Here is a 27363-nt window from a genome sequence, read left to right as displayed (position 1 = left end):
CTTAAGGGCCGGACCTCAGCGTCTCCCGGAGTCTGGCCGCAGTCGCGGCAGTGGTGGCTTCCCATCCCCAAAAGGCGCCCTCCGACTCCTTGCGCCGCACTGCTCGCCGGGCCAGTCCGGAAACGGGTCGTGGAGCTCCGCACCACTCCCGCTGGTTCCCGAAGGCAGATCCCTTCTCCCGAGAGTTGCGAGAAACTTTCCCTTGTCCCCGACGCTGCAGCGGCTCGGGTACCGTGGCAGCCGCAGGTTTCTGAACCCCGGGCCACGCTCCCCGCGCCTCGGCTTCGCGCTCGTGTAGATCGTTCCCTCTCTGGTTGCACGCTGGGGATCCCGGACCTCGATTCTGCGGGCGAGATGCCCCTGGGACACATCATGAGGCTGGACCTGGAGAAAATTGCCCTGGAGTACATCGTGCCCTGTCTGCACGAGGTGGGCTTCTGCTACCTGGACAACTTCCTGGGCGAGGTGGTGGGCGACTGCGTCCTGGAGCGCGTCAAGCAGCTGCACTGCACCGGGGCCCTGCGGGACGGCCAGCTGGCGGGGCCGCGCGCCGGCGTCTCCAAGCGACACCTGCGGGGCGACCAGATCACGTGGATCGGGGGCAACGAGGAGGGCTGCGAGGCCATCAGCTTCCTCCTGTCCCTCATCGACAGGCTGGTCCTCTACTGCGGGAGCCGGCTGGGCAAATACTACGTCAAGGAGAGGTCTAAGGTAGGACGCGCTCGGCGCCCTGCCGCAGCTGCTCCCGCGGGGACGGGAGGCACTCGGAGTCCGTTGTATGTCGACTTCCCAGGGCCGTAAGCGAACTTTGTTTTTTAACCAAGAAGTCAGCCTGGTTTGTCTCTACTCGCTGCTTCCCCCCACCCCTCGCCCCAGCTCCTCTGAGCGAAAGTCAACGTTAAGGGGCTCAGGTGAACCATGATGATGACCTTCTGTTGACTTTGAAATATTGGCTCTTGTGGGTGACAAAAGCCAGACAAGCTGTGGCTGTGGTCCGATTTTAAGACGAGGTTCTCAAAGATCCAAAGGAGGGAAAGGGTATTGGAAACACTGTGTATCATCTGAGACACACGTGTCCTCATGATCTTAAATGCCTACTTTAAAGCCACCTAATACTGCCCTTCATTGTGGTCAGAAGAGATTTCTACAAAAGCACTCAGAATTCTGGAGGCAGTTGTGATTTTGCCATGTGGCAGTTGGTTTGTGGAGTTGGGCAGGTGTGAAAGGGTAAAACTCCACTTCTGAATGCTGCTTCTGCCCCCTGGGACCCAGCACATTGTTAGACCATCTTCTTGACTGAAAATTCTCTCCTGATGCTGAGCCCTGCACCACCACCTTCCTTTTCCTAACTATGAATTGATGGCAAAGTCCACTCAAAACAACCAGTTAAGTGCTCACGAGAGAGTAGTCAAGCACCTCCAGAAAGAAACCGGGTTTTTGTTCACATAGCAGGAAGTGACTCCCTGGGTGGTAATTTATCTTGGAAACACAGGTAGATTGGCAGAAAAACGGGAACATGTAGGTACCGCGATGTTGGTGCATGTCCATTACTTTGGGATAGGCTTTCTCAGTCTTTCCTCAAATGATAGTTGAGCCAGTTTTCCAGTGGCAATTCTGAGTGACTTGCGCTTGTCTTATGGTGTGGTCAAGGGACGTTCAGAACTACGGAAAACTTTTACTGAAACAGCGAAGCAGAGTATACCGGCATGAGAGGGAAGATGAACACTCACCTATGTACCACTCTTTGACAATAAATATAGTATTTCTCAAATCAGTCTCAAGACTGATCCTGTCTCAGAACAGACCATTGTTCTCTCATTTCTCTAATACGCTGAGAGGAACACTCTGAATAAAGGCTAAGTGGTGAGGATTGGAAACGTGTGGGAGTGAAGGGGTGGAGGTGGATGAGTGCAGTGGGGAGTCACAGTTTGCCGTACAACTTCCAAGCCAAGAGGCCATGAATAGAATATCTGAAAGCATCGTTATTAATGCACCCAAGTAAAGTAAATCTTAGAAGATACTGCTTTCTAAATTTTACTTTGGGGAAAAAAATTCCGCGTGAGCTGAACTCTGTAGGAGATTGATGCTAAAGTGTTTCTTTATTCTTCTTCCATCATGTTGGTGGTGGATTAGTCACTCGTCTTTGACTAGTTTGATTTTTGCATTAAATGACCTTGCTGTCTTCTGTGGTGGAGGTGTGTCGGGGAGGGGAAGGGTCAGCCTCAGTGTTGCTGAGATGCTGGTAGTTTCTACCTGGAAGAGCAGACGGCTTCTTATTGGGTTTTTAAATGTTTCTTGTAAATTTAGGTGTTAGGAGTTTTTCTTCATCATTCTAGGAGCAGAATTTGCTCTGAGGGAGGTCAGGATTAATTGGTATGGAAAGAGGCCACTAACATTGAAAGTTAAATATTTTTATTTAGCTTTGACTTAATGGATAGGGATAGGGTTTCAGACTAGAATTTAACTCAAATGGAAGGAAAAACACTGTGTAAGTTAGGGTAAGGGAAAGAAAGATCCTGTAGATATGATTCATCAATTTTAGGTTATCTTTTGGGTGGAATGAAAAACTTTCCAGGTGACCCTGTCAGAAGGTGATCGTGAATTGAAAATAAAATTTATCCTGTCCCACCCCCAGATTTCCAGGTTTACTTTGGCTGGTTTGTCACAAAGCTCCCTGCCCTTTAGATAAATCACCTTTCGATTGGAATATTCCCTGGCCAATTAGAACCAAATGCAAACCAGGCTTGAGCAAACAACTAGTGTAGTTAAATTTTTTTTAAGTGTGCTTTGCTTGTATACAGAAGTCTCCTTAGTGATGTCTTGTGGTCTTGGGTTTCTTGTTTGAAGTTCATTATTAAAGTCATGGTAGAAACACTTTCCATTTCTACATGATTTTTATTGGTTTCACATTAATTTATCCTTCTTTTTCTTCACTCACTTTTTATCCCTCAGCTGAGCTCCTCATTTTGTGCTGCTTTCCAGAGCAGTGATAGAGACCCAGTTTACCGGTTCATCCTTCACCCGTGTTTTCAAGAAAAACTAAAGTTTTAAATTTATTTATTATTATTATTTTTTTGAGATGGAGTCTTGCTCTGTCGCCAGGCTGTAGCGGCTCACTGCAATCTCTGCCTCCTGGGTTCAAGTGATTCTCCTGCCTCAGCCTGCTGCATAGCTGGGACCACAGGCACGCCACCCTGCCCAGCTAATTTTTGTATTTTTAGTAGAGACGGGGTTTCACCATGTTGGCCGGGCTGGTCTCGATCTCTTGACCTCATGATCCACCCGCCTCGGCCTCCCAAAGTTCTGGGATTACAGGCTTGAGCCACTGTGCCCGGCCCTTAAATTTATTTTTAAGTTTTAATTAAGGAAATTTTCAAACATACATAAACATAAGAGGCTAATATAATGAGCTCCCATCACCCAATTTCAACAATTGCCAATATGTACATTTGTTTTAGACCAATTTTTTTTAGCTACTTTAAATTTCTTGAGGTTATGCTTATTCATGCACTTACCCAAATTTCATTTCTTTTTTTGTTCTTTGCTAGACTTGGAAAGATCATTGAATAATATTGCCCTTTATCTCAATGAAACAATAGCAAAGATATTGGGAGTAAAACAGAAAGATACACTGGACCTAAAATTGAAATTGTGGAAGAATATAGAAAGAAATATTAGATGGTTCTGCTTCCTGCCAAGAAAGTTGTTAATGGTCAGAATTTGTCTACCTCATCTTTGCTGGAGAAAAATCCAAGGGTGTTGAAGACCCCTTGGGAAGTGGTTCCTGTAATGTACAGCTGTATGGCCCCCCCTAACTTCAAGCATGATCATTGCTTTCAGGCTAGCAAAGGATTTATCCGCTCGCTACTCCCTTTTGGAGATTTTAGACCATATCCAAGATAAATATTGGTCATAATTTGCTCCTTTTTCTTTGGCTGCCTAGATCTTGAAAATGGCTGTTTTCCAGAGAATGTATAATTTTTAGAACCAAAAGTCCCTCTGCTTCAAACAGCTCACTGTAGACTCACTAGTTAGTGACTCTAATAAGAAGAACTACCTTTTATTGAGCAGTTTGTATTGTCTGGCACTGTGCTATGCACTTTACAAATACTATCTTGCTTAATCTTCAGAAACACAGTCTTAAACATATTGAGTGATTAAATACTGTGCCCAAAGTTTCAAAGTCAGTGGTAAGAAACAGTTTAAATGGGGGCTGGGAGCTCAGGCTCAGTGTTAACTAACTTCGTGGCTTTAGGCAAGTTGCTTGGTTTACACCAGGTGCAAAATGAAAGGAAATAATGCCGTAAAGCTGTTGGAGGAAGAAGCATTAAATAAGATGATGTTTATGAAATGTTTAGCAGAATTCCGAGCCTTCATCAGTGTTTTAAGTCTCCAGAGGGGAAATTTGGGATCCTAACCTAGATTTGTGTAACTCCAGAGACTGTGTTATTTCCTTTTATTCTCTCCTACTTCCGACCTTTCATTTATTCAGCAAATGTTATGGAGTGTTCAGCCTGTGTGGGATGCTGTGCAGGGGTGGTGGTGCCATGATGAACGAATTTATACTTTCGTATACTTTGAATTGTAGGATGGTCTCATTCACACTTGACTAATTCTTAGGCTTAAGAAAACCCTCAAACATTGAAGTGGGTCAGTTGAGTACATTTGAAGAAAAAAATAGAGTACTGTGCTGATGTTTTCCTACTGTTTTATTTATTTATTTATTTATTGAGACAGAGTTTTGCTCCTGTTGCGCAGGTTGGAGTTCAATGGCGCAATCTTGGCCCACCACAACCTCCGCCTCCTGGGTTCAAGCGATTCTCCTGCCTCAGCCTCCTGAGTAGCTGGGATTACAGGCGTGCGCCACCATGCCCGGCTAATTTTGTATTTTTAGTAGAGACGGGGTTTCTCCTTGTTGGTCAGGCTGATCTCTAACTCCCGACCTCAGGTGATTCGCCTGCCTTGGTGCCTCCCAAAGTGCTGGGATTACAGGTGTGAGCCACCGCGCCCGGCTTCTACTGTTATTTTTAGGAAAACATTTATTGATAGGGTTTGTTCGTAGGATTCCTGACCAGACTAGCTCTGGAAGGTGGCATTGTGAGGACTGCATTGTGAACAGACCAATTGGTCCTCCCCTGGAAACAATAAGGAGGAATGATGAAACAGCAAAACATTTATGAATTAAAGAAGATGTGTTGCAAGGTGGTGTGTTTATTCCTTGCTGTTGAGCAATAACAGTTTTGGCCCACCCTTCTCATGTGAGGTCAGGAATATACATTATTTAATGGAGCTTATCATGGTTGCAAACTACTTTAAGGGAAAAATGAAGCAATGTACTATGAAGTGATCTCGCAGGATCCAAGTGCAAGAAATGCAGTCAGGGTTCTCAGAAGCTTAGAGGTATGAACTAGGAAGCAGAAAGTCCTTAACATCCAGGACAGCTGGTGTGTTCTTTTCTCAGGAGCCTCATGACCTCCATCTTTGCTTCCCTGCTTTTGCTCTTCATTTCTTATCCTCTTTTCAATCCAGCTTTTGCTGCCTTCCCATGCACATGGCTCAAGATGGCTGCCCCACAATGGCCACCTCAGCCTTTAGTTGCAGATGAGCAGAGACTTCAGTAACATTCCTGGATCCCTGTTTTCATCGCCTGGGAGAAAGTCTGATTGTCTCACCTTGGCTCAAGGGATCTATCAGCCGTAGTCTGGCACAGTGGGAGGCATGTGGAAACCATGCATCACAAATATGGTTGCCAGGGCCCATGAGAGTTATAGCTCTTAGAGCACAGAGTTTGAGAGCTGGATACCATAAATGGTATCTCTGCAATTAGAATCTTAGAAATCTACCTGTGAATAAGGTATTTTGGGGAGGAGTGCTGCTGAGTTTGAAGCTCTGGAACACTGTGAATAAGGTATTTTGGGGAGAAGGAGTGCTGAGTTTGAAGCTCTGGATCATCTTTCTGTAAGGATGTAAGGGATTCCTATAAAAGCTTTTGTATTAAAAATAACTTAGCTCCTGTAGGAAGGAAATTACTCCACAGTAATAATTTACAGAATACAGTCCCAGTGACAGTGAAACAAGTCTCTCCAATGGGCAAGTTTTCATGGGGTTTTTTGTCTATTTTGTGAATGACATTTGGAAACAAAAAAGGCAGGAGGGTGTGTGTGTTTAATTTGTAATTTCTTTTGCTCAATTTTGGGCCACTGGCCACTTCACTATAACCTTATCTGCTTCAGAGAAGTGGATAATAAAGGGATATCGATTTAATTCATTCACAGATCACTCAGTGCTGCACACTGTGGGAGACCTGTCCGTGGATGGGGAAGGGAAGTGCCCAGTGATTACAAAACCACCTGAAGAACTAAGCTGAGAGTTGAGTGTAGTGTGCAGTGGTTGTCACCAATTCTTTCTCTTTTTCTGGTTAAAAAGTGCACGTTTACGCTCATTAGTCATTGTTTCTCTTTGGGTTTTCTCCAATTTCTCTGTTAATTTAAAATGAAGCAACCAGAACAAGTGATCAAAACTATACAGGATGTTAATAATATGGGTTTTTAGGGCTAGAGAGATATTAGAAGTCACATCTATCCAATGTCTCAGTCATTCAGCAGTTGTTTTCATATTTGGAGAGATGATATCTTGAGCAGATCCTTGGGAAGGGATGGATAAAAGGTACTTTAATAGAGAAAGGGTGGCTGGGTGCAGTGGCTCACACCTGTAATCCCAGCACTTTGGGAGGCCGAGGCGGGCAGATCACAAGGTCAGGAGTTTGAGACCAGCCTGGCCAACATGGTGAAACCCCATCTCTACTAAAAATACAAAGTCTAGCCGGGCATGGTGGTTTGCGCCTGTAGTCCCAGGTACTCAGGAGGCTGAGGCAGGAGAATTGCTTGAACCTGGGAGGTGGAGGTTGCAGTGAGCCGAGATTGCACCATTGCACTCCAGCCTGGGCAACAGACCAAGACTCCATCTCAAGAAAAATAATAATAATAATTAAAAAGAAAATAGAGAAGGGGCTACGCTGGCTGGGTCAGACAGACTGGGACCAGGGTCAGTAGGTTAATTCAGTGGCATCACCATTTTATTTGGGAATTTTAAATATAATTCTGACTGAAAATTGATAAACACCCTTAAGTGGAGTTATGCAAGCCTGTCTCTGCATAAGGTTTTGGAGTATCATGAATGATTTCCCTTTCTAACCTTTCTGCTTCAGCTCAAGCAAAATTGGTAAAATTTTTCCTGATTCCTGAATCTCCTGGAAAAACTTGTAATTTCATAAGTAACAAACAGCCCTCCATTTTATGACCCTATCCCAAGAACACACCATGTATGAAAGATTTCTCTGAGGAAGCTTAAAGGTCAGGGTGGCGTTCTACCCAACCTCTAATGAGCAGAGTTTAAGCACTGCCAGCATCTTGTGTACTTCCGGATAAAGCTTGGAAGGCTGCTCACCTGTGGGCCATGTTTGGTTTGGCAAGGCCTCTGCTTTTGACCCAACTTTGCAGCCCTAGGTAAATTAAATTACATTTTGATCTGTGCCCACTGAAGACCAAGAAGTAGCTTGCAGGTTAACATTATGGAGAAGGTTATTAACTTTTTGTTAATTATTACGGCAACAGACTCCACAATTCCTTGGTAGCAGCACTTTGTAGTTGTTAAGTGATATTGCTCTAAGAAACGGGTGTCGCTTTTCTCTAGTGTTTGTCAAATGCACATGTTCTGACAGTAATGATAGTTCAGATCTATTTTGCTGGGCATCTGCCAGGGGTGCCCAGTGGGTAGCTGAATCCAGAGGCACTGGAATTGTAAATACAACAGACAAATCATTTGATGGTGCCAGACTAAGGAGTTCAGCTTTGGCAGATTGCCAGGAGCCGTTGATTGGGCTCAGATTCAGTGCTATGTGTCTGTTTGCCAAGCAAGATTAGTTGTCTTGGTTAATTATACATAGAATTTGTACCCCCTTTCTCTCGATTATTTCCATCTTAAACCGGTATGACATTTACTTTAATTTTGCATCTTGTTTTGATATTGATTTGTGGGTGAGTTTCTGTCCCTGTTTTTGGTGAGTCTGTAGTGACTACGTTTTCCTGCCCCGGTCCTAACACAATCCCAGCCTTACAGACCCTGGGTTTGCTGGTGTATAATGCAGGCTTTCACATCTTGTATTGGATTCATTTGGTACCTTGTTACTTAGTGTTCTCCGTGTTCAGTACAGTGTCAATACCTCCTTATTAAATCAAGCTAATTTTTGATTCTTTAGAAGGTACAATGATTCTCAAGTTCTGGAGTACATGTGCCTATCTTATATTAAACATTAGTTTTTCTTTACAAAATGAGGCCAAAATACTTATTGTTGCCATACAAAAATAATTCCAGAATACAAAGAATCAAATAATATGATAGTAACCTCAATTCTTTGTCAGTGGGAAGAAAACAAAATGAAAAACTCAATTCCAGGTGTCAATAACATCTATTTTTTATTCTAATGTGAGACCCTGAAGTTCCATCTTTTTGAAGTTGTCAGGATAATTTCATTTGAGCATTGCTTGGAAGCTGTAAGGATATACTGTTTGGGACCCTTTTATTTATTTTTATAGAGATGGGGTTCTGCCATGTTGCCCAGGCCTCCCAAAGTACTGAAACTACAGGTGTGAGCCACCAGGCCAGGCCAACAAAACCCCTTTTAAACACAAAATATTGAAGATTCAGGCAAGAACATGCAGTATTGCTAGAGAAGGGCCTATTGTGCTTTCTTTGTTTAGTTTTACTTTTTAGGTTCACTATAGAACCTCAAGTTGTCTTTTTTTTTTTTTTAACTAAACTTTCTTTCCTTTCTTAGTAGAAAAATCCTTGAGGGGCCCTTTCTTAGTAGAAAAATCCTTGAGGGGGGAAGTTTTTTAAAGTAACTTACTGTAACCATAAATCACTTGCCGTTGGTTCTTGTTCTTCCTGTAATCCATTTTATGTACTTTTGCTAGAGTGTAGTAGTCCCAATTCCAATTCTAATCATGTAGTCTCTGTGCTTAAAACAAAATAATCCAAAAATCCAACCATGCTCCTTCTTCATTATCTACTATACAACACTGTAAAGACTGTAAACTTAGCCAGCTTTGACAGCCCTCTACATCTGACCACATCTGACCTTTCTACACTTAATTTCCCACCACTGCCTTCCTTTCCTCCCAGTCCCTGAAATGCTAGAAACTAATTTGCCAGGCATAATGAGCTTCCCCATTGTCTTCCACTCATCAAAAATCCATCTCTACCGCCTTCTAGTGCCTGTTCCCTGAAGTCTTCCCTTCTGCTCCCCAGAACTCTGTCGTGGCTCAATCCAGGCTGCCCAGTACATGGATTTATTGGGCTGTTTATGCTGTCCACCGTGTGCTTAGAAATTCCTTGAATGCAGAGACTGTTAAGCTTTGTATATACTTTTAGTGCCTAGAACAGTCCCTTATACTTCATAGGTGCTTGTTGGCTTAATTTCATCTTCAAAAGGAACTTTGATTTTGATGGATATTTGAATGTTAAAAAAAAAGCTAGAATTTTTTTTGGGGGGGATAGAGGGGAATGACGGGGGAAGATGGGTGGCTGCAGCTTAGTCTCTAATTCGATGCCTAAGTATTTAAATATTTTATTAGAGTGACATGTTATGTGAGACCATCTCAATGGAGGACCTTAGCTTTGTAAGTTTTTTTTTTTTCTCAGTTTCGAAATCCTAGGTTTCACCCTAGAAATACCCGAGTCACACCTGGATCCTGGCAGCTCATACCTACAGGTCTGGCTCAGAGACGCCAGGGCCACGAGGCTTAGGGCCCCAGGTTCTGGTCCTAGCTCAGCCCCTGGCAAGTTTCATGGTCCTCCATTTCCACTTCTTTATGGATGAGTTAGATACTTGTTTTCATTTTTGAACTTAAATTTGGTCAGCACCTACCACTTGACACTAGGATGGACACTTCAGATTTTATTTCATCTTCCTATGATCTTGGGCAAGTCAGTTCTCTGAGCCCACTTTCATCATCTATAACATAGGCACAATAATACTGTATGTCTACTTCTAGGATTATAAGGAATTAACATTGAGATGACATTTCCATTTGAGAAGGAAAATAGTTGCTTTCAGTGCCTTTTATTTGATTCCTGGAGAGAGCAGACTCGCACCGACATTCAACCCCAGCGCTGATATGACAGTAATCCTCAGAGGCAGAGCCCAGCACAAAACAGCAATGCTAGAAAGTTACAATTGGAAAGTTTCCTGCCAGCTTCGGGAATGACACTGCAAAGCTGATGCCAGAAACTGCCAGAGTAATTCTCCTCATTACTGCTCTACCCACCCACTTTCAGCTCCCCAAATTAACTAGTGCAGTTGACTAATTCCTCTTTACCTTTATCATTTAGGGTGAGGCATTGCACAAAAACTCTCGACTTTGCCATATAAGGGCTGTGGTTCTCTGTGGTCCCTGGATAAGAGGCATCACCATTATCTGGAAACATGCAGTAAATGCAGATTCTTCATCTTCTCCCCAGACCTCCTGAGTTAGAAATTCACAAGTTCTCCAGGTGATCTCATACATGCTAAAGTTTGAGAACCATTGAGTAAAGTTAATGCATTAAGAAGAGATTAGATAGGGATGGTGGCGTATCTTCCTACAGTTTCCCTGTTAACAAGAAAGTCAGAGGTCAGTTGATCAGACATTAGATTATTTATTGCTAAAACTAAAAAAAAAAACAAAAAACGATTTTTAGTTCACATTTATAGCCTATTATTTGTACCAGCATATTTAATTTTCCAGAACTAGAATTGAAGCAAATTTTGGAACCAGTTCCCTCCTGTTATGGTGAATGGAGGTGAATGTCTGGCCTTTGGCAAGACAACTGCATTTGAGGCCTATGTGGACCCTGCAGGGGCTACAGAGATTTTATGGTGGGCTTGAGGTTGACCTGCACTGGGAATAACCAAAGCAAAGACAAGATGACTTGGACAAGTAGGGTCAATTTTCTTGGCCTCTTGCCTTTGTTAAAATTCCCCCTTTGGATCTTTGAGTTTACAGACTGAATACCAAGCACACTCTTTTAAAAAAATTCTTGCAATTGTTTGTATTTTGTGATTTTTCTATCACTCTGGAAGGGTGATAGGCAAGGATGAGGTAGGTGGAGTCAAATATTTCAAGTAGAACCAAAGATCTTAGTTCCCTCAAAAATGAGGTGGGGGTGAATTTGCTAATGTCAGACATTAGATAAACTGAGTTGGTAAAGCACGTCTTAAGACCTCACACTCTTCAGCCAGACCAACTGGGTTCAAAAAGGCAAGTTACCTAAGCTCTCTGTGCCTCCATTTCCTCATCGGTAAAATGGAGATAATGTTCCTACTTCATGCGGTTGTTAGGGAGTGTGAAGGAGGTCCGATTTGTGAAGCACACAGAACAGTGTTGGGCACATAGTAAATGCTTTACAAATGTTTGTTTAGTAAATAAATATAGCCACTGAATTTCATGAGTTCTAATCTACGCTAACTTGCTGTGTGTCATTTCTTTCATTCAGCAGATCTGTTTTTCCAAGTGCTGAAATGCATATGTAGGTTTCTCCTGTTTTAAGATTGTTTCGGCCGGGCGCGGTGGCTCACGCCTGCAATCCCAGCACTTTGGGCGGCCGAGGCGGGTGGATCACGAGGTCAGGAGATAGAGACCATCCTGGCTAACAAAGTGAAACCCAGTCTCTACTAAAAACACAAAAAATTAGCCGGGCGTGGTGGCGGGCGCCTGTAGTCCCAGCTACTCGGGAGGCTGAGGCAGGAGAATGGCCTGAACCCGGGAGGCAGAGCTTGCAGTGAGCCGAGATCGCGCCAGTGCACTCCAGCCTGGGTGACAGAGCGAGACTCCGTCTCAAAAAAGAAAAAAAAAAAAAGATGATTGTTTCAAGGCATTTTTCATGACATTTTGATTGGTAACTTCGTTTTTTCATATATTATCCATTATTAAAGTCTTGTCTTACCAATTATTTTGAGTTATGGATTCTTTAAGTACTTTAGGATTAAGTTCAGATGAAAATTTCAAATATTCCATTCTCTGATGAGCCTGCAGTCACAAGTATTCCTTGTCTCTGTTATGCTCAAAGCCTTTAGAGAGCCATAGGTGATGTTTTATTATTCTGATAAGGCTGTTTTCTCATATCAAAGGAAGTCGAATATTATGTTTCTCTATAGAAATACCTGTGATAACTTCTAGGTCCATAGGGTAACTTCTAGGGTTAATGACTTCTACCAAGGACTTGGAGCGGTGTGACTCAGGGCACACACTGCTGCTCACCTTCCCAGTAACCAGGAAATTAAACAAGATATGTGCAAAATGCCACCGGGCTACATGAATTCTCAGGAAACAGCAGCTGTTAATATTTGGGGAAAGGCATCAGAAAGGAAATGGTTAAATGCGTCTTGATGTCCTTATCCCTGGGCTGGACTGACCTTTGCTGATTTTATAATTGTGAGGAAGCCCGGTTGAAAACATTTCTCTGGTGACTGGGGTAGAGATGGGGGAGGGGGATGGTTCCCAGTGTCCGTTCCCAGCTCAGGCTGCCTGGCGGTGTGCTCGGGTGTGGGCTGGCTGCCACCCTCACGCAGCGCACGTAGCCCTGTCACTCAGCCATCACCCTGCTGGCTTAGAGCCAGTCCTCCACGGGAAGGGCGGCCTGCCCAAACCCAAACACCCTGTATTAATATGGCGATGTTGCCGGGCCTGTTTACTGTGCCTAATTGCATGGGCTCTGGCTGAATCCCCTCCAAGGAGAAGAATTAACCACAATGCAGAAAGGAATGACAATAGTCTCTTAAATTCCTGGCCTCTGAGCCTTTCAGTGGCTTCTTGGGGGAGGGCGATTCACTCAGAAGGTCGTGCATGAAATGCGGGATCTCCTGGAATAGAATCTTGATCCCGCACAGTTCAACTTTAGAGGCCTTTGAACCCCCTAGAATTTCGTGCAGACTTCTGTGTGTGCGTGCATATTTCTTACATCCTTTTAATGTAAGAATCTCAAAGGGCTATTGTGCCTGGTAGAACTATCATCACTGACCCAGGAGAACTAGATGGATGCTTCCACGCTCTGGGTAGTTAATGATCCTGAAGCTAGGACCAAGTTCATCTGAGGACAGGTTTTAAAGTGAGAATGGTAAATTCTCTGCTATTCAGGCACGGTGCTCTCACCTGGCCAGGAGGGTGTGGGCAGACCCACTTCACTAGAGCAACCGAGAGTCGGTTATTACTTCTTATTTTTTATTTTCAGAAGTTCTGAAGTTTCTACAATATTAGAAAATTCAGGTGTAGGTATGTGATGACCGTTGTTCTACCTTGGGAGAGAGGTCATGTGTAGCAGTGTTCTGGGTAAGTAGGTTCTGCGAGAGGAATTATTTTTAGTGTGGATTTAGGACAAATGAGGAGGGCAGAAGTAGTCTGCATTGTGGAAGTAGAGTAGTAAAAAACATTTTCATGAATAATTTGGGGTTTATTGAAAGGATTACCTACCTGACAGGTATTTGTCTGGTATTCTGAATCTTCCAAATGGTCTGGTGAGATGCTGAAGCTTTGGAAAGGTGAACACGGTGGCTGGACACAGCTTGTGTTATGGCCCACCAAAAGTGTATTTTCTCTTTCCCCCTCATTTTATTACATCAGTCTGTAACTAGAGGCACTAGAAGTCAGGAAATAGAATAGCTAGGCTTGCTCTTAACCAACAACAAAGATGACCAGCAAGATGCCAAGGTAACTGATGACAGTTTACACAAAATTTCTTACTTTTCTAAGAGCTCACGTTTGCTTACAACTATTTTCTTCATGCCCGTCTAGGTGAAGTTTGAATGTCTAAAAATTCTAAAGCACTTTTAATACTTACAAGTTAGCACTGCTTCATCATCACATTGAGACCTTTTTTGTTCAATTCTGTATAAAGGATAAGACCAGCTGGCAGCAAATGTGAACTTTTGCAGTGACATTTTCTTAAAACTTGGAGAAAGCTTTGCATAGTTGCCATCGTCTTGTAAAGAGGCCCTGTGAACATTGTTCTGTAGGAATTTAATTTACTTGACAACAGTAGATCCCACAAAATGTCCTTGAAGATCACATATCCCTGAACAAGGGAGATGATAGAAGGTTGAAGTAGTAATTCCAGTTTGCTTTTCATGTCCTCCGGATTTAAGTTGCAAATGATTTTTTGAGTTCTTTTCTCTCACTCCTTGTCAGAGCCAAGTGGAAAATAATGGAATTGGACATTTTGGCTTAATTTGTCTTTAGATTTTTTTTTTTTTAAATAAAACTTGTAAAGGGCATGTCTCTTTCAGGTTTTGTTTTTTTTTTTCTCCAGCCTTTCCTCCAGTATGCCTGCATATAGCAGTTTGAATACCTAAACGTTTTTTTGGTTTTTCTTTCTTTTTAAATAGGAGAATTTCAGATCTAGAGCTGCTGCTAGCACATATAGTGCCTTTGTTCCAGCTACTAATCCCCTTTCCCCTCCCTCAGATGAATTACCAAATGGGGCCCCTACATCAGCAGGGTGCCTTGATGAAGGCAGGACCTAAAGTATGTGATCATGGGGATGCCCTGCTCACTGGCCACAGTCAAGGCGTGTGTTAAAATATGTGCTGAACATAAACCACCTAGAAAAATAGCCCTGGAAGTGTAGCCTTCAGCTCCTCTACCCACAGCTGACTAAAAACATTGGCAAGTTTGTCACCTAGGCTGTTGTCACCCGAATATAAATGAGACCCATTTCTGGCCAGAAAACTTCAGCTATCACAGTCTACATTGTGATGAGTTGCTTGGCTGTTTTTCCAAGCAAAAGAAGGTGCATGGTCTCATGTATTTCCTCCCAACTCTTATTTATTTATTTATATTTTTTGAGACAGCATCTCGCTCTGTCGCCCAGGCTGGAGTGCAGTGGTGCGATCTCGGCTCACTGCAACCTCCACTTCCCAGGTTCAAGCAATTCTCCTCCTCAGCCTCCTGAGTAGCTGGGATTACAGGCGTGCGCCACCATGCCCAACTAATTTTTGTATTTTTAGTAGAGACAGGGTTTCACCATGTTGGTTAGGCTGGTCTTGAACTCCTGACATTGTGATCCACCCACCTCGGCCTCCCAAAGTGCTGGGATTACAGGCGTGAGCCACCGCGCCCAGCCCCCAACTCTTTACACATCTAGTTGTCTGTGTTGTTGTGCCTGTGTCGTTGTGCCTTATGGTGGAGAAGGGAAGGATCCTGGGCCTCTGTTGCTCTGTACTGGGTGGACATGGGGGAAGGACTTGATGGAGCGAGGTGTCAGGATGCAATTGGAATGTGGATGGCATTCAGGATGAGGCATTGTCTTTGGATAGGATGTGTTTGAGTCTGGTGGAGAGAGATGGGGAAGGTGCCCACTCAGCAGCTGTCTCAAAGTAGCTTTACTTCTTGGAAGTCCTCACACAGTGATCTCAAAATATAGCCTGATATATGTGTGTGTATATATATATATGTGTGTGTGTGTGTGTGTGTGTGTGTGTGTGTGTATTTATTTATAGCCCTGATTAAAAAATTGGGATCAACAATATTCAGGAGAGTTTACATAAAGATCTGATTGCCTGCTACTCTCATAAAATCTGAAGATTTGCTCTCATTGAAAATAACAGCAAGTCCCCTCAGTGTAGGTGGCATAACACACACCAGAGTTCTGACTCATGTATACCGGATTGGCTTCAATCATTTGTTACTCGCAAACATCGAAAGCTATTTTAGTTTGCCAGTCCTGGGTTCAAAACTACAAAACACTTAAGTAGAATTGGGTCTCTGAAGAAGAGACGTTCTACAGCTTCAGTTGAGGGGAAGACAAACATAACACATCATCTTTAAAAATAGCTAACATTTATTAAGCACTTAGTGTGTGCCAGGCCGTGCATTAAGCATTTTACATGGATTATCTCCCTGAGTCTGCATAAACCCATTTTACAGATGAAGAAACCAAGGTGTAAATGAGCTAAATGCAGATTATCCCGTACTTAGGTTGCATTTTATTCAAAGTACGCTTTGCTCAAGACCATGCTTAATTCAAAATGAATCCTTACAAAGGTTGGCTGGTATTTCTACTTAGCAGCTGGAGGGGATCTAGCATTTGTCGGTAGATCAGAATACTAGTTTAAAGCTCCTTCAACCAGATAGTTTTGAAATCACGCTTTTCTCAACAAATCTTAAACAATGGATTTTCATTTATTGGAAATTTTGCAAATAAAATGAGATCTAATTAGTACTTTAATTTGGTGAGTTAAATTTTGTATAAAATGCCACTTTATTATAACTTGTTCAAGATCGAGTCATACTAGTGAATCTGTCTCAAATCATGAGCAATGTAAAATACATTTCTATGAAAATACATGTTGCAACTGTTAGCAGAGAAGTGGTAACGGCAGGGTGGGTGTATCCCCTTCTCACCTGTGGGTCTGAAAAATGATCATCATTGCCTAGTGGATGGTGGAGGTCACTGATGCCAAGTTTTTGAAATGGTTTTTACATGCAGTCAAGCTGCGGTTGATGGCATTCAAGAGCATTCTGTTTAGGCATTGGAATGGAAATCCTGGACTTTTATTTTTCAACTTTACCTTTGGACTTGATGAGATAGGTTTTTTTTTTTTTTTTATGAAGTCAGCTCACTGGTAACTCTTAACAGAACCACTGTTTCCTTTTCCACCTGTGGCATTTGGGGACCACTTTTTTATACTGGGTTTTGACTGTTACGGTTCTATATATCTGTGTATATCTTCAAAGGATACATATACGTTTGTTGTCTGGACATGGCTGCATACGTGTCTAGAGCACATATTCTGGTCTAGAGCCAGCCTGGGCCGGCCTGATTCACCTCTCCACTCATTTCCTATTGCTACAGAGCTAAGGAGAGGCCTCTGGGAATGGGGATGGTGGGAGGTGGGGTGGGTACACTATATAATGTCAGTGGACAGAGCGGTAAATGTGTAAGGGGACATGTGGATTTATCAGTATATCCAAGAATAGAACTATAGGACTATACTGTATGTGCTGCTGTAGATGACACTACTGTGTTAAACTTGCGTAAACTTCAAATATTAATCTAGTCAGGAAGTTTTAGAAAATAAAAAGCCTGTACTAAAGTAGGCATCCTCTTGATATGTGTCAGTTTATTGCTTGGCATGTTTGTTATATGATCATTAAATTACTCTGGCCCGTTCTTTTAACAATAAAGCATTGAAGACTTCTCTTCTGTTAAACACTAAATCCCTTCCCCGGCTTGATGAGGTTTAGATAGCAACTCAGTTGGACTGATCTGTTTCCGGAGTTTGTTACTGCCCCGTGCACAAATTGGCACAGAAGTGAATGGCTAGTTATTGAAGTCAGGCTTGCTTCTCGGTGCATCCTTAGCCTCATGGTTTTAGACCCTGTCAAAGACGAGCAAATAGTTGGGAATGTGCCCAAGCAAAGACCCATCTCCTATGGCACTCATCCAGAAAACACACTGATAAAATTGGCCAAATGTAGCCTCAACTGGCCCACTGATGCTCGAAATGATTTCCTTCCATTGTTTCCAACTTGATGCATGTGGTTTCTGGAACCAGGAGAGAGGGTGAATGTTCACTCTGGCCAGAAAAATTATCTCTTTGCCTCCCTCTTAAGCAGTCGGATACTTTGCTGACATGTAGGGGTTTTGTCCTAATAGTAAGTCCTCTGGAATTGGCTTTGTCTCTGTGTGTTTTATAGATGCGGCATTTGGTAGAGGATTTACTTTTGTGAGTTTGTATCCATCTTTTTTTTTTTTTTCAATATTTTAATCTGAGCTGAGTTCTGAGGCAGAGAAACACTCCTTAATGACCTGAAGAACTATGTTGCTTTTTCAAGGGTTGATGCTTAGATCAAGTCTTAGATCTTCTTGGGCCTTTGACAGCTGCGTAACCCAATCCCCTCTTTATAGGAAAGAGACAGCCTGGGATCACAGTTAGTTGCAGAGTGAACTATGGCAGGCATCCAGACCACTGACCTTTTCCTTAGAGAAGAGCTGTTTAAGCATATAAGATTATAGCATTGATGTCATACTTTTTCTTTTCAGACACACTCAGTGGGGGGAGCCTGAGATAATAGGGAATCCAGCCTGTAATTGTTTGTGGCTTAAGCGACTTTCATTATTGGCTCTGTGGTGGCTCTTATAATCCTAATAGCTGCTTCCAGGGGTGGGTAATTCTTTAGTCATTATAGGTGACTTTATTTGTCTCTTCTTCTCTTGCTAGGCCCATCAATTCTGTTTGCTACCAATCACCCTTCCTCAAGCCATGCTTTGCTTAGTGGTACCATCATTTGTTAAATCTTCATTGCTGACGTCGCCTCACAGTTTCACCTTCTGAAAGATGTTCAAGCTAACAGCCTAACTTGAGCTCTAAGGATGACATCACATTGACATTTTGATGTTCAAAGGCAGGATATGGGGATTGTTTGCTGCATGAGGATATGAAGTTTGAGAGAGATGGTGATTTAAGCTTTAAAATTGTTGTAAAGTCCAGTTACTATTCAGCCTTATTATTGATCTGGCATGCAAGGTGTGTTTTGCCTAGTTCCGTGTTTTCATGCTACTATTGAGAGTGACTCGGCAGCCACGTTGAAGCTGATTCATTGAACCACTAGCCCATTAGCTTGGGGCTCTACTCAAACGGTCATTTTACCAATGAAGCAACGCTGCCATTTATCAGGAAATATATGGCCTGGATCTTTACATGTATGTTTGAAGATAGGTCTTTTAAAATGACAGAAATAGCTATTGATCTAGGTAAAATGTGAACTTACTCTTTAGAGAAAGAGCCATTCGCTAGTTCATTGATTTATTTATCACATTTTAGATGGACACCTTCTGTATGTCAGGCACTGTCCTAGGTGCTAAGAATACATCAGTGAGTAGAACAGGAAAAAAAATCCCTGTCCTCATCTTGTGTTGCTGGTTCTAATATTTTCCTTGCACCTACTGCATCCCTATAAAAAATATTTTTCAAACATGGCGGTATCCTGTGAAGAAAAGAACTGGCTTTCTATACTTTGCTTTCTTCCCCCTCCCCACTCTGTGTTATAATTTTTCCCTTGGAACAATTAGAGGTCTGTTTACTCTAATGGTAATTTTCAGTAGGATTTTTGGTACGGTTTTCTACTTTATTCTTCCACCTGGTTGATACAGGTAGCACTTAGACAAAGAGAACTTCAGATTATCACCTGATTACATAATTATCAGGAAGAAGACACATATTAAGATACATGCATGGCTTTTTTCCTGAAAGGAATCTCCCTGTGTTGTCTGTGTTAACAAGTTAGGGTGCGGCTTCCTATTGATCTTCCTCTATTCTTTCTATCCTGAGCATTTTATTGAGTAAGCCTGACCTTTTCCTCCTTTGGTGATTAGTTCTGTCACTTTGTGTATGCAAATACCTTTAGCCATTGTTCTGAAACAGTGTGAGTGATTCAGCAGCACTTGCTAAACAGTCATAATCCCTAAACTCCACACCTAGTGACTCTGATTTTGTAGCATGGGAAACTAGAAACTGCTTTTCCAAAAAGGAGTATTGAAGAAAGGCAGGGCATACAAACAGGTTATGCAAACAGGGCATGCAGATAGGTTACTTTAAGAAAGACTGTGTAAAATGTTCTAGAACTGTGGGAATATTGTTGAACTACTTTCCACTGGGCAGAGCCATAGTATGACCTGGCCATTGTGCACAGAAGAGTCCAAATTTATGTACCATACATGAAATTAAGAAGCCAGCAACTACCTGTAAATGTCACGTAACACCCAAGGAGACTGTGTTACTTATCTGCTCACCAGTGGGAGGAGAAGATTGTCTGTCTCAGCTTTGTTAACCAGCTTTCTTGGGATTTCTCCATAGGCAATGGTGGCTTGCTATCCGGGAAATGGAACAGGTTATGTTCGCCACGTGGACAACCCCAACGGTGATGGTCGCTGCATCACCTGCATCTACTATCTGAACAAGAATTGGGATGCCAAGGTACTTTTGAATAATGGGAGTAGAGTGTGGGGTTAGAAACTACAGGAAAATGATTCAGATAACTTAGAGGAGAGTTTATATTGAGTTCATAGTTGCCGTATCTCCCACTGATGAAACATTTCTATTTCCATTTCATAACCTCCTGCGACAATGGAATTAGTCCTAAAGTTGTTAAGAAGAAAACAATGAAGTTAATTTGGAGTGGGGTAGGTAGGGTGATTATTAACCCTACCTCTGGGAAGGGTGGTTGATGAAGGGAAGGTAATTTGATATTAGGATTAAGGATTAATTTTTTTCAGTTTAATTCAGAGTTGTTCTGACTCAATGCAGAATAGGATATACACTTTTCCCTCCCAGCAGCAGCATTGAGAAAGTTCCACAAAAATAGAACTGTAGGCTATAAAACCATCCCCAAGAGAGATTTCCCACACAGTCCTCTCCCTCGGGGTGGTATGTCTCATTGATGGCTGCTTGCCATGGCTTACTATGGTTTGTGAATGCCAAAGGCTTTGTGGCTTATTTTTGTATTATAGAACTTATAGATAGATGGAGATATGAAGCCTGGTTCCATGCTTACAGACATTCATCTGGACTCTGTATGCTTTCCGAAAGTTAAGAATGATTTAGGAGTCTGGGAAGTCAGATAACTTTTCAAGCTTATTTGGCTTTTGAACCTTCTGCATCTCAATTTCCTGTTCATTAGGCAAATACTGGCTGTCATAAAGCAATAATATTTATCCAGAGTCAGAAAAACGAAACTTGGGAAACCATTGAATCAGTGAAAAGGCCTATCTCTTCTCCCTGTTTGGTAACATGACTGGAATACATCCATTAAGTCTCCTTTAAAATCTTGAGAGGTGCTGATAGAGACAAGAGAATAAAGTTATCAGACTGGTAATAATAAATTGCAAGGTCTGGAATCATTTAACAAATATTTGAGTTCCTGCTAGTGTCAGGCGTTGTATTATGAAGAAACATTGATGTGTGAGGCCTGAACTTTACTCTGAATATGGTTATTCTAGTAGGATGAAATAGGTTGACATGTAAAAAAAATAATTCAAGGAAGAGAGTGGTGTATGTCATAAAAGGTGCAGATTAGGTGGTCTGAGAGTTCAGTAAAAAGAGCATGTAACTTCCAACTAATGAGGTCAGATAGGAGCTAAGGGAGTTCAGAAGAGCTGTAAATTCTAATTGAAGGGGAAGTTACATGTGATGATTTTCTTAGAAAGTTGTTAATGGTTAGATGGAACCATGTGAGATCACTGGGCATTTTTTTTTAAGTCAAAAACACTCAAATATTGGCAAATCGGTATGATTCAATCTAATAGTACTCTATTTTACGTCCATGGGCTTTATGACTGTGGGGGGTGGGAGTGCTTTTTTTGGTTTAAGGTGAATAAGGAGATATCTCTAGCTAAGTTTGATATAAAATTTGGTACGAAGTGGCTGGGCGTGGTGGCTCATGCCTATAATCCCAGCACTTCAGGAGGCCCTAGTGGGCGGATCACCTGAGGTCGGGAGTTCGAGACCAGCCTGACCAACATGGGGAAACCCCGTCTCTACTAAAAATACAAAATTAACTGGGCATGGTGGTGCATGCCTCTAATCCCAGCTACTCGGGAGGCTGAGGCAAGAGAATCACTTGAACCAGGGAGGTGGAAGTGGCAGTGAAACGAGATCGTGCCATTGCACTCCAGCCTGGGCAACAAGAGTGAAACTCCATCTCAAATTGGTACAAACTATGAGGTTGAAGTAAAAATCTGGGGTACCATGCATTTGGAGTGGTGGTTAGCAGATGGCATGTTTCTAAATGGAGCTGAAATATGGTTGTTGATAAACTACATGAGAGGTAAGAAATAATCCCCCTTCTTTGTGTCTTTCAGCTACATGGTGGGATCCTGCGGATATTTCCAGAGGGGAAATCATTCATAGCAGATGTGGAGCCCATTTTTGACAGACTCCTGTTCTTCTGGTCAGATCGTAGGAACCCACACGAAGTGCAGCCCTCTTACGCAACCAGGTAATAGCCGGAGCCATGATTCCTCTTCCGGAGCTTGGTGTACAAACCCTAGTTCCAGAGAACTCTTTAAACGTGTGTCCTGTGCATGTGGGGGATTGACCACACCCCATAGCTGATAGCAAACTTGTTTGGAGTCTACAAAAATTAAAGGGGAAACTTTGCGTTCTTTAGCATATCAAACCTAACCTCAGTTTGAAAGTACTATTAACAAGTTGTTTTCTATTAGATGAGCATATTGGATTCCAATTTCTCAAAAGTATTTTTCTCTTCTCTCCTTTCCTCCCTTCTCTTATCTCTCTTTCCCTTTTTTTAAAAAACCTAATGTTGAACTATGCCTAGAGAATGTTGGCTGTCACATATCAGGAATTCTGTCTGGTTACTTTGGATGAGTTTACAAGCTGCTAATTGCAAGCAGAGAAAGAGCCTTGAGAAGAGAAAGAGTAATTTGTTTTGACTTTCTCTTTTTGTCTTTTCCTTGGTTTGAAATTGGCTTGGGCTTGCTGTATCCATGGTCCAACAGTTGGATGTTTTATTAATCTTTTCTTTATCATGTGCACATGAAGATTCTCAGAGTAACTGAACACCTTAGTATTGTTTAGGACCAATCTAGACAATCTTGACAAAAAATCTTCATTCTCAATTCTGCCTCTCATTTACCTTTGTCTGTGTCTAAAGCAATAAGCCGGGCAGCATTGGAGGGCTATGGAGTGCAGCTTATACTGAGACTAGCATTCAGGGGCAGGAGGAGAGAATTTTGGTAGGATGATGATTAAACCCTAACAAGCCTAATTAAATTAAGATCACATGTGCCCTCCTCCGGAAGTCACACAGCTTAGCCCCAAACCCAGTTATATATTAACTGCCAAATCGGAATGTCTTCTAGATGAGCAGGGAACGAATTCTACCACTGAAGTCAGCTTTTGTGTTTTATGGGGTATGTAACTAAACCCTGTTGTTTGTGGCAGAAGTCTTTGGTTATTCCCCAATCTCATGATGACTGGCCTTACAGGGAAAACATTAGCAAATGTTGATGAGAAGTCCCTTGAAAAAAACTCAAGTGCTATAGAAATTGTTAGCTACGGAAGTAGCTAACAATCATTACAAAATGAAACTTTAAAAAAAAACCAAGCATGAAATGGCTCCCATTACAGTCTATCCAATGAATGGGATAAAGCAAATTAGTGGGGATGCAGTAGAAAGCTCTGGGGCATTATTATTATTCAATTGCAATTTTGCCTCAATGTCCAAAACTAAAGAAAGCAAGCCAAGAGTTTTAAACATACTGTGATTTACATAAGTCGTTTTTCAAAGCTTCACTCAAATGTCATCTCTTCTCTATGTTCTCGCCACCAACTTGGGTCTCCCAGTCTTTAGCAGAATGACTCCCTTCTAGTCCTTTCTGTAGAGGCTATGTTTACCTGTTGCATTATTGCAAAATCACCTGTCTCCCCTACTTGGAGCCTGAGATCGCAGAGGAAGATCTGATCACAGGGTCATTTGAATTCCTAATGCCCAAGATAATTTCTGGCACATACCTGGAATTCCTTATGCATTTTATTACATTGAAATAGAATTAAAACCAGAGAAGTTAATTTTAAATTAAAATCAGCGTAGACAGGCCGGGCATGGTGGCTCACACCTGCAATCCCAGCACTTTGGGAGGCCGAGGTGGGCAGGTCAAGAGATCGAGACCATCCTGGCCAACATGGTGAAACCCCATCTCTACTAAAAATTTAAAAATTAGCTGGGTGTGGTAGCGTGCACCTGTAGTCCCAGCTACTTGGGAAGCTGAGGCAGGAGAATCGCTTGAACCTGGGAAGTGGAGGTTGCAGTGAGCCGAGATCACGCCTCTGCCTGGCAACAGAGCAAGACTCCATCTCAAAAAATAAATAAATAAATAAATAAATAAATAAATAAATAAATCAGGGTAGACTTCTAATAATAGAGAAAACTTTAAAACTTTTAATGTGAGATTTATAGGACATTTGTGTTTCTAGTAGTACCATTAAATCTCTTTCCTTATATCTGCTTATCTTTCACAGATATGCTATGACTGTCTGGTACTTTGATGCTGAAGAAAGGGCAGAAGCCAAAAAGAAATTCAGGAATTTAACTAGTATGTGTTTGATAATTTTCTGTGACTTTTGATCAAGTTAATCCTTGACTTTTATTCAATTTTATGTAGTTTTAAACATGTTCTGTTCAATCTGTTACGGCTTAGCTTTATATATAATGACATCTTGATGGGTTTTATCCTGAAACCTTGGCCTTAGGGCTCTTAGAAAAATCAGAAACAATGCAAGGGGCTTCCCCTGAGAATGCCCACTGAATGTATGATGGTTTATGATAGATGGGAAATAGTTAACTTTTTCCTATTAATGTTAACCAGTCAAATGTAACATTAAATTTTGCCCATGATTTTTGGCATATTGCAAAGGAAATATAATGGAACCCAGTTATGATGGCAAAATTTATTATATTGGGTGAGACTGTGACTCTCAGTATAACAGCAGGGCTCATGTAATATAAACTGAATATAACAGCACTACTCCTATCCCTTCCAACCAGTATTAGAAGGCAGCATTTCCCAAAATACGTTGCATTAAAACACAAATCCTGCCAATTTGGTAAATTCCTGGTCCCAAAAATGTGGGAAATGTTGCATGCTGTATGCCTGTCTTAAAAAGAGTCACATTGCTCACTAGCATATTAAATTAAGGCGCTAAGAGATCCTGCAGTAAGGAAACATATATAATATTGCCTAGCCCATAACCCATTTGGACTGTATACCTCTCAAATACCAAAGTGGTCTCCAAATTGCACCCAGGAAATCTCAGTTTGTTTTCTCTTCCAGATGGCCTACACTGCTTAACTCTGATATGTGAGTGAGGCTACACTTCATACAACTTATGCTCAGCATTAGCCCAAGAGGTGCCAATGCTGGATGTAAACCCAAAGTTCCTCCACAGTCTGTGAGGCATATGGGAAAGATCCCATTGCAAAGTCAAGAGAGAATCCTTTGGCAGAGCTCTATTAGGAGGCTTATATAAGATGGGAAGTGTTTACTGGAGGCTTTTTGGTGACATTTGTGACATAAAACTCATCAGAGCTGACTCCATACCCTCTTTATTCTCCTTTCTGTCCCCAACCCAGGGAAAACTGAATCTGCCCTCACTGAAGACTGACCGTGCTCTGAAATCTGCTGGCCTTGTTCATTTTAGTAACGGTTCCTGAATTCTCTTAAATTCTTTGAGATCCAAAGATGGCCTCTTCAGTGACAACAATCTCCCTGCTACTTCTTGCATCCTTCACATCCCTGTCTTGTGTGTGGTACTTCATGTTTTCTTGCCAAGACTGTGTTGATCTTCAGATACTCTCTTTGCCAGATGAAGTTACTTGCTAACTCCAGAAATTCCTGCAGACATCCTACTCGGCCAGCGGTTTACCTGATAGATTCGGTAATACTATCAAGAGAAGAGCCTAGGAGCACAGCGAGGGAATGAACCTTACTTGCACTTTATGTATACTTCCTGATTTGAAAGGAGGAGGTTTGAAAAGAAAAAAATGGAGGTGGTAGATGCCACAGAGAGGCATCACGGAAGCCTTAACAGCAGGAAACAGAGAAATTTGTGTCATCTGAACAATTTCCAGATGTTCTTAATCCAGGGCTGTTGGGGTTTCTGGAGAATTATCACAACCTAATGACATTAATACCTCTAGAAAGGGCTGCTGTCATAGTGAACAATTTATAAGTGTCCCATGGGGCAGACACTCCTTTTTTCCCAGTCCTGCAACCTGGATTTTCTGCCTCAGCCCCATTTTGCTGAAAATAATGACTTTCTGAATAAAGATGGCAACACAATTTTTTCTCCATTTTCAGTTCTTACCTGGGAACCTAATTCCCCAGAAGCTAAAAAACTAGACATTAGTTGTTTTGGTTGCTTTGTTGGAATGGAATTTAAATTTAAATGAAAGGAAAAATATATCCCTGGTAGTTTTGTGTTAACCACTGATAACTGTGGAAAGAGCTAGGTCTACTGATATACAATAAACATGTGTGCATCTTGAACAATTTGAGAGGGGAGGTGGAGTTGGAAATGTGGGTGTTCCTGTTTTTTTTTTTTTTTTTTTTTTAGTTTTCCTTTTTAATGAGCTCACCCTTTAACACAAAAAAAGCAAGGTGATGTATTTTAAAAAAGGAAGTGGAAATAAAAAAATCTCAAAGCTATTTGAGTTCTCGTCTGTCCCTAGCAGTCTTTCTTCAGCTCACTTGGCTCTCTAGATCCACTGTGGTTGGCAGTATGACCAGAATCATGGAATTTGCTAGAACTGTGGAAGCTTCTACTCCTGCAGTAAGCACAGATCGCACTGCCTCAATAACTTGGTATTGAGCACGTATTTTGCAAAAGCTACTTTTCCTAGTTTTCAGTATTACTTTCATGTTTTAAAAATCCCTTTAATTTCTTGCTTGAAAATCCCATGAACATTAAAGAGCCAGAAATATTTTCCTTTGTTATGTACGGATATATATATATATAGTCTTCCAAGATAGAAGTTTACTTTTTCCTCTTCTGGTTTTGGAAAATTTCCAGATAAGACATGTCACCATTAATTCTCAACGACTGCTCTATTTTGTTGTACGGTAATAGTTATCACCTTCTAAATTACTATGTAATTTATTCACTTATTATGTTTATTGTCTTGTATCCTTTCTCTGGAGTGTAAGCACAATGAAGACAGGAATTTTGTATATTTTTAACCAATGCAACATACTCTCAGCACCTAAAATAGTGCCGGGAACATAGTAAGGGCTCAGTAAATACTTGTTGAATAAACTCAGTCTCCTACATTAGCATTCTAATGGTTTGATTAATATATTCCATCTTTGGCAGGAAGGGCTTGCTAGAATTTTTACACACATCTTTTTAACATTGTTGACTTACACATTTACGCTAAGAGTTTTAGAACGCTTTGGTCATAGTGTTGCTTCGTATTTGTATACCCATGAATAGGTCATTCACTGACCACTATGAATCTGAAAATTGAACAAATTATATTTTGCCCTTCCATATCCTAGAAACAACATTAGTAAAATAACATTAGTCTCAGATAGGACAGAGTGAATTCCCCTTTCGAACAATCTTGAAAAATTTCAATAGGAAAGAAAGGACGAAGTTTATTAGGAATTTTGTATTCTGTAAAATTGTAGTTATATATTTTTCATGATTTCTAATGTCATAAGAATGATAGTGACAATATTCTGAAGGAGGATCATATAGTTCCAAAAGCATGTCTTGTATTTTTCATTTTAGTCAATATGCCAAAAGATCTG

The 27363-nt window shown here is 41.6% G+C and overlaps 1 protein-coding gene across 2 annotated transcripts, besides 4 other annotated features; it reads left to right on the top strand.

Moving 5' to 3' along the window:
- Positions 33-26880, top strand: EGLN3 (egl-9 family hypoxia inducible factor 3). 2 transcript variants are annotated; one of them, NM_001308103.2, is made up of 5 exons: positions 33-429; positions 19892-20011; positions 21895-22031; positions 24074-24147; positions 25185-26880. In NM_001308103.2, exons 1-5 carry the CDS (start codon positions 355-357, stop codon positions 25214-25216), a joined length of 438 nt encoding a protein of 145 aa, NP_001295032.1. In that variant the 5' UTR covers positions 33-354; the 3' UTR covers positions 25217-26880. The 2 variants fall into 2 exon arrangements, with proteins under 2 accessions (NP_001295032.1, NP_071356.1); NM_022073.4 differs by having other exon boundaries at positions 33-711.
- Positions 96-265: an enhancer, noted in NCBI's record as "active region_8243". NCBI's record gives its function as "activates an Ori minimal core promoter by ATAC-STARR-seq in GM12878 lymphoblastoid cells {active_cell/tissue: GM12878}" and the evidence as "EXISTENCE:reporter gene assay evidence [ECO:0000049][PMID:35858748]".
- Positions 12172-13143: an enhancer, noted in NCBI's record as "OCT4-NANOG-H3K27ac-H3K4me1 hESC enhancer chr14:34407170-34408141 (GRCh37/hg19 assembly coordinates)". NCBI's record gives its function as "activates a minimal SCP1, AML or CMV promoter by ChIP-STARR-seq in primed H9 embryonic stem cells {active_cell/tissue: H9 hESC(primed)}" and the evidence as "EXISTENCE:reporter gene assay evidence [ECO:0000049][PMID:30033119]".
- Positions 12472-12541: an enhancer, noted in NCBI's record as "active region_8242". NCBI's record gives its function as "activates an Ori minimal core promoter by ATAC-STARR-seq in GM12878 lymphoblastoid cells {active_cell/tissue: GM12878}" and the evidence as "EXISTENCE:reporter gene assay evidence [ECO:0000049][PMID:35858748]".
- Positions 19130-19691: an enhancer, noted in NCBI's record as "NANOG hESC enhancer chr14:34400622-34401183 (GRCh37/hg19 assembly coordinates)". NCBI's record gives its function as "activates a minimal SCP1, AML or CMV promoter by ChIP-STARR-seq in primed H9 embryonic stem cells {active_cell/tissue: H9 hESC(primed)}" and the evidence as "EXISTENCE:reporter gene assay evidence [ECO:0000049][PMID:30033119]".
- Positions 26881-27363: the final 483 nt, after the last annotated feature.

Source organism: Homo sapiens, chromosome 14 (assembly GCF_000001405.40).
Source record: "Homo sapiens chromosome 14, GRCh38.p14 Primary Assembly".
In the NCBI taxonomy this organism is placed as follows: domain Eukaryota; kingdom Metazoa; phylum Chordata; class Mammalia; order Primates; family Hominidae; genus Homo; species Homo sapiens.
Note: the sequence above shows the minus strand (reverse complement) of the source record. Positions and strands in the feature narration are given on the sequence as shown.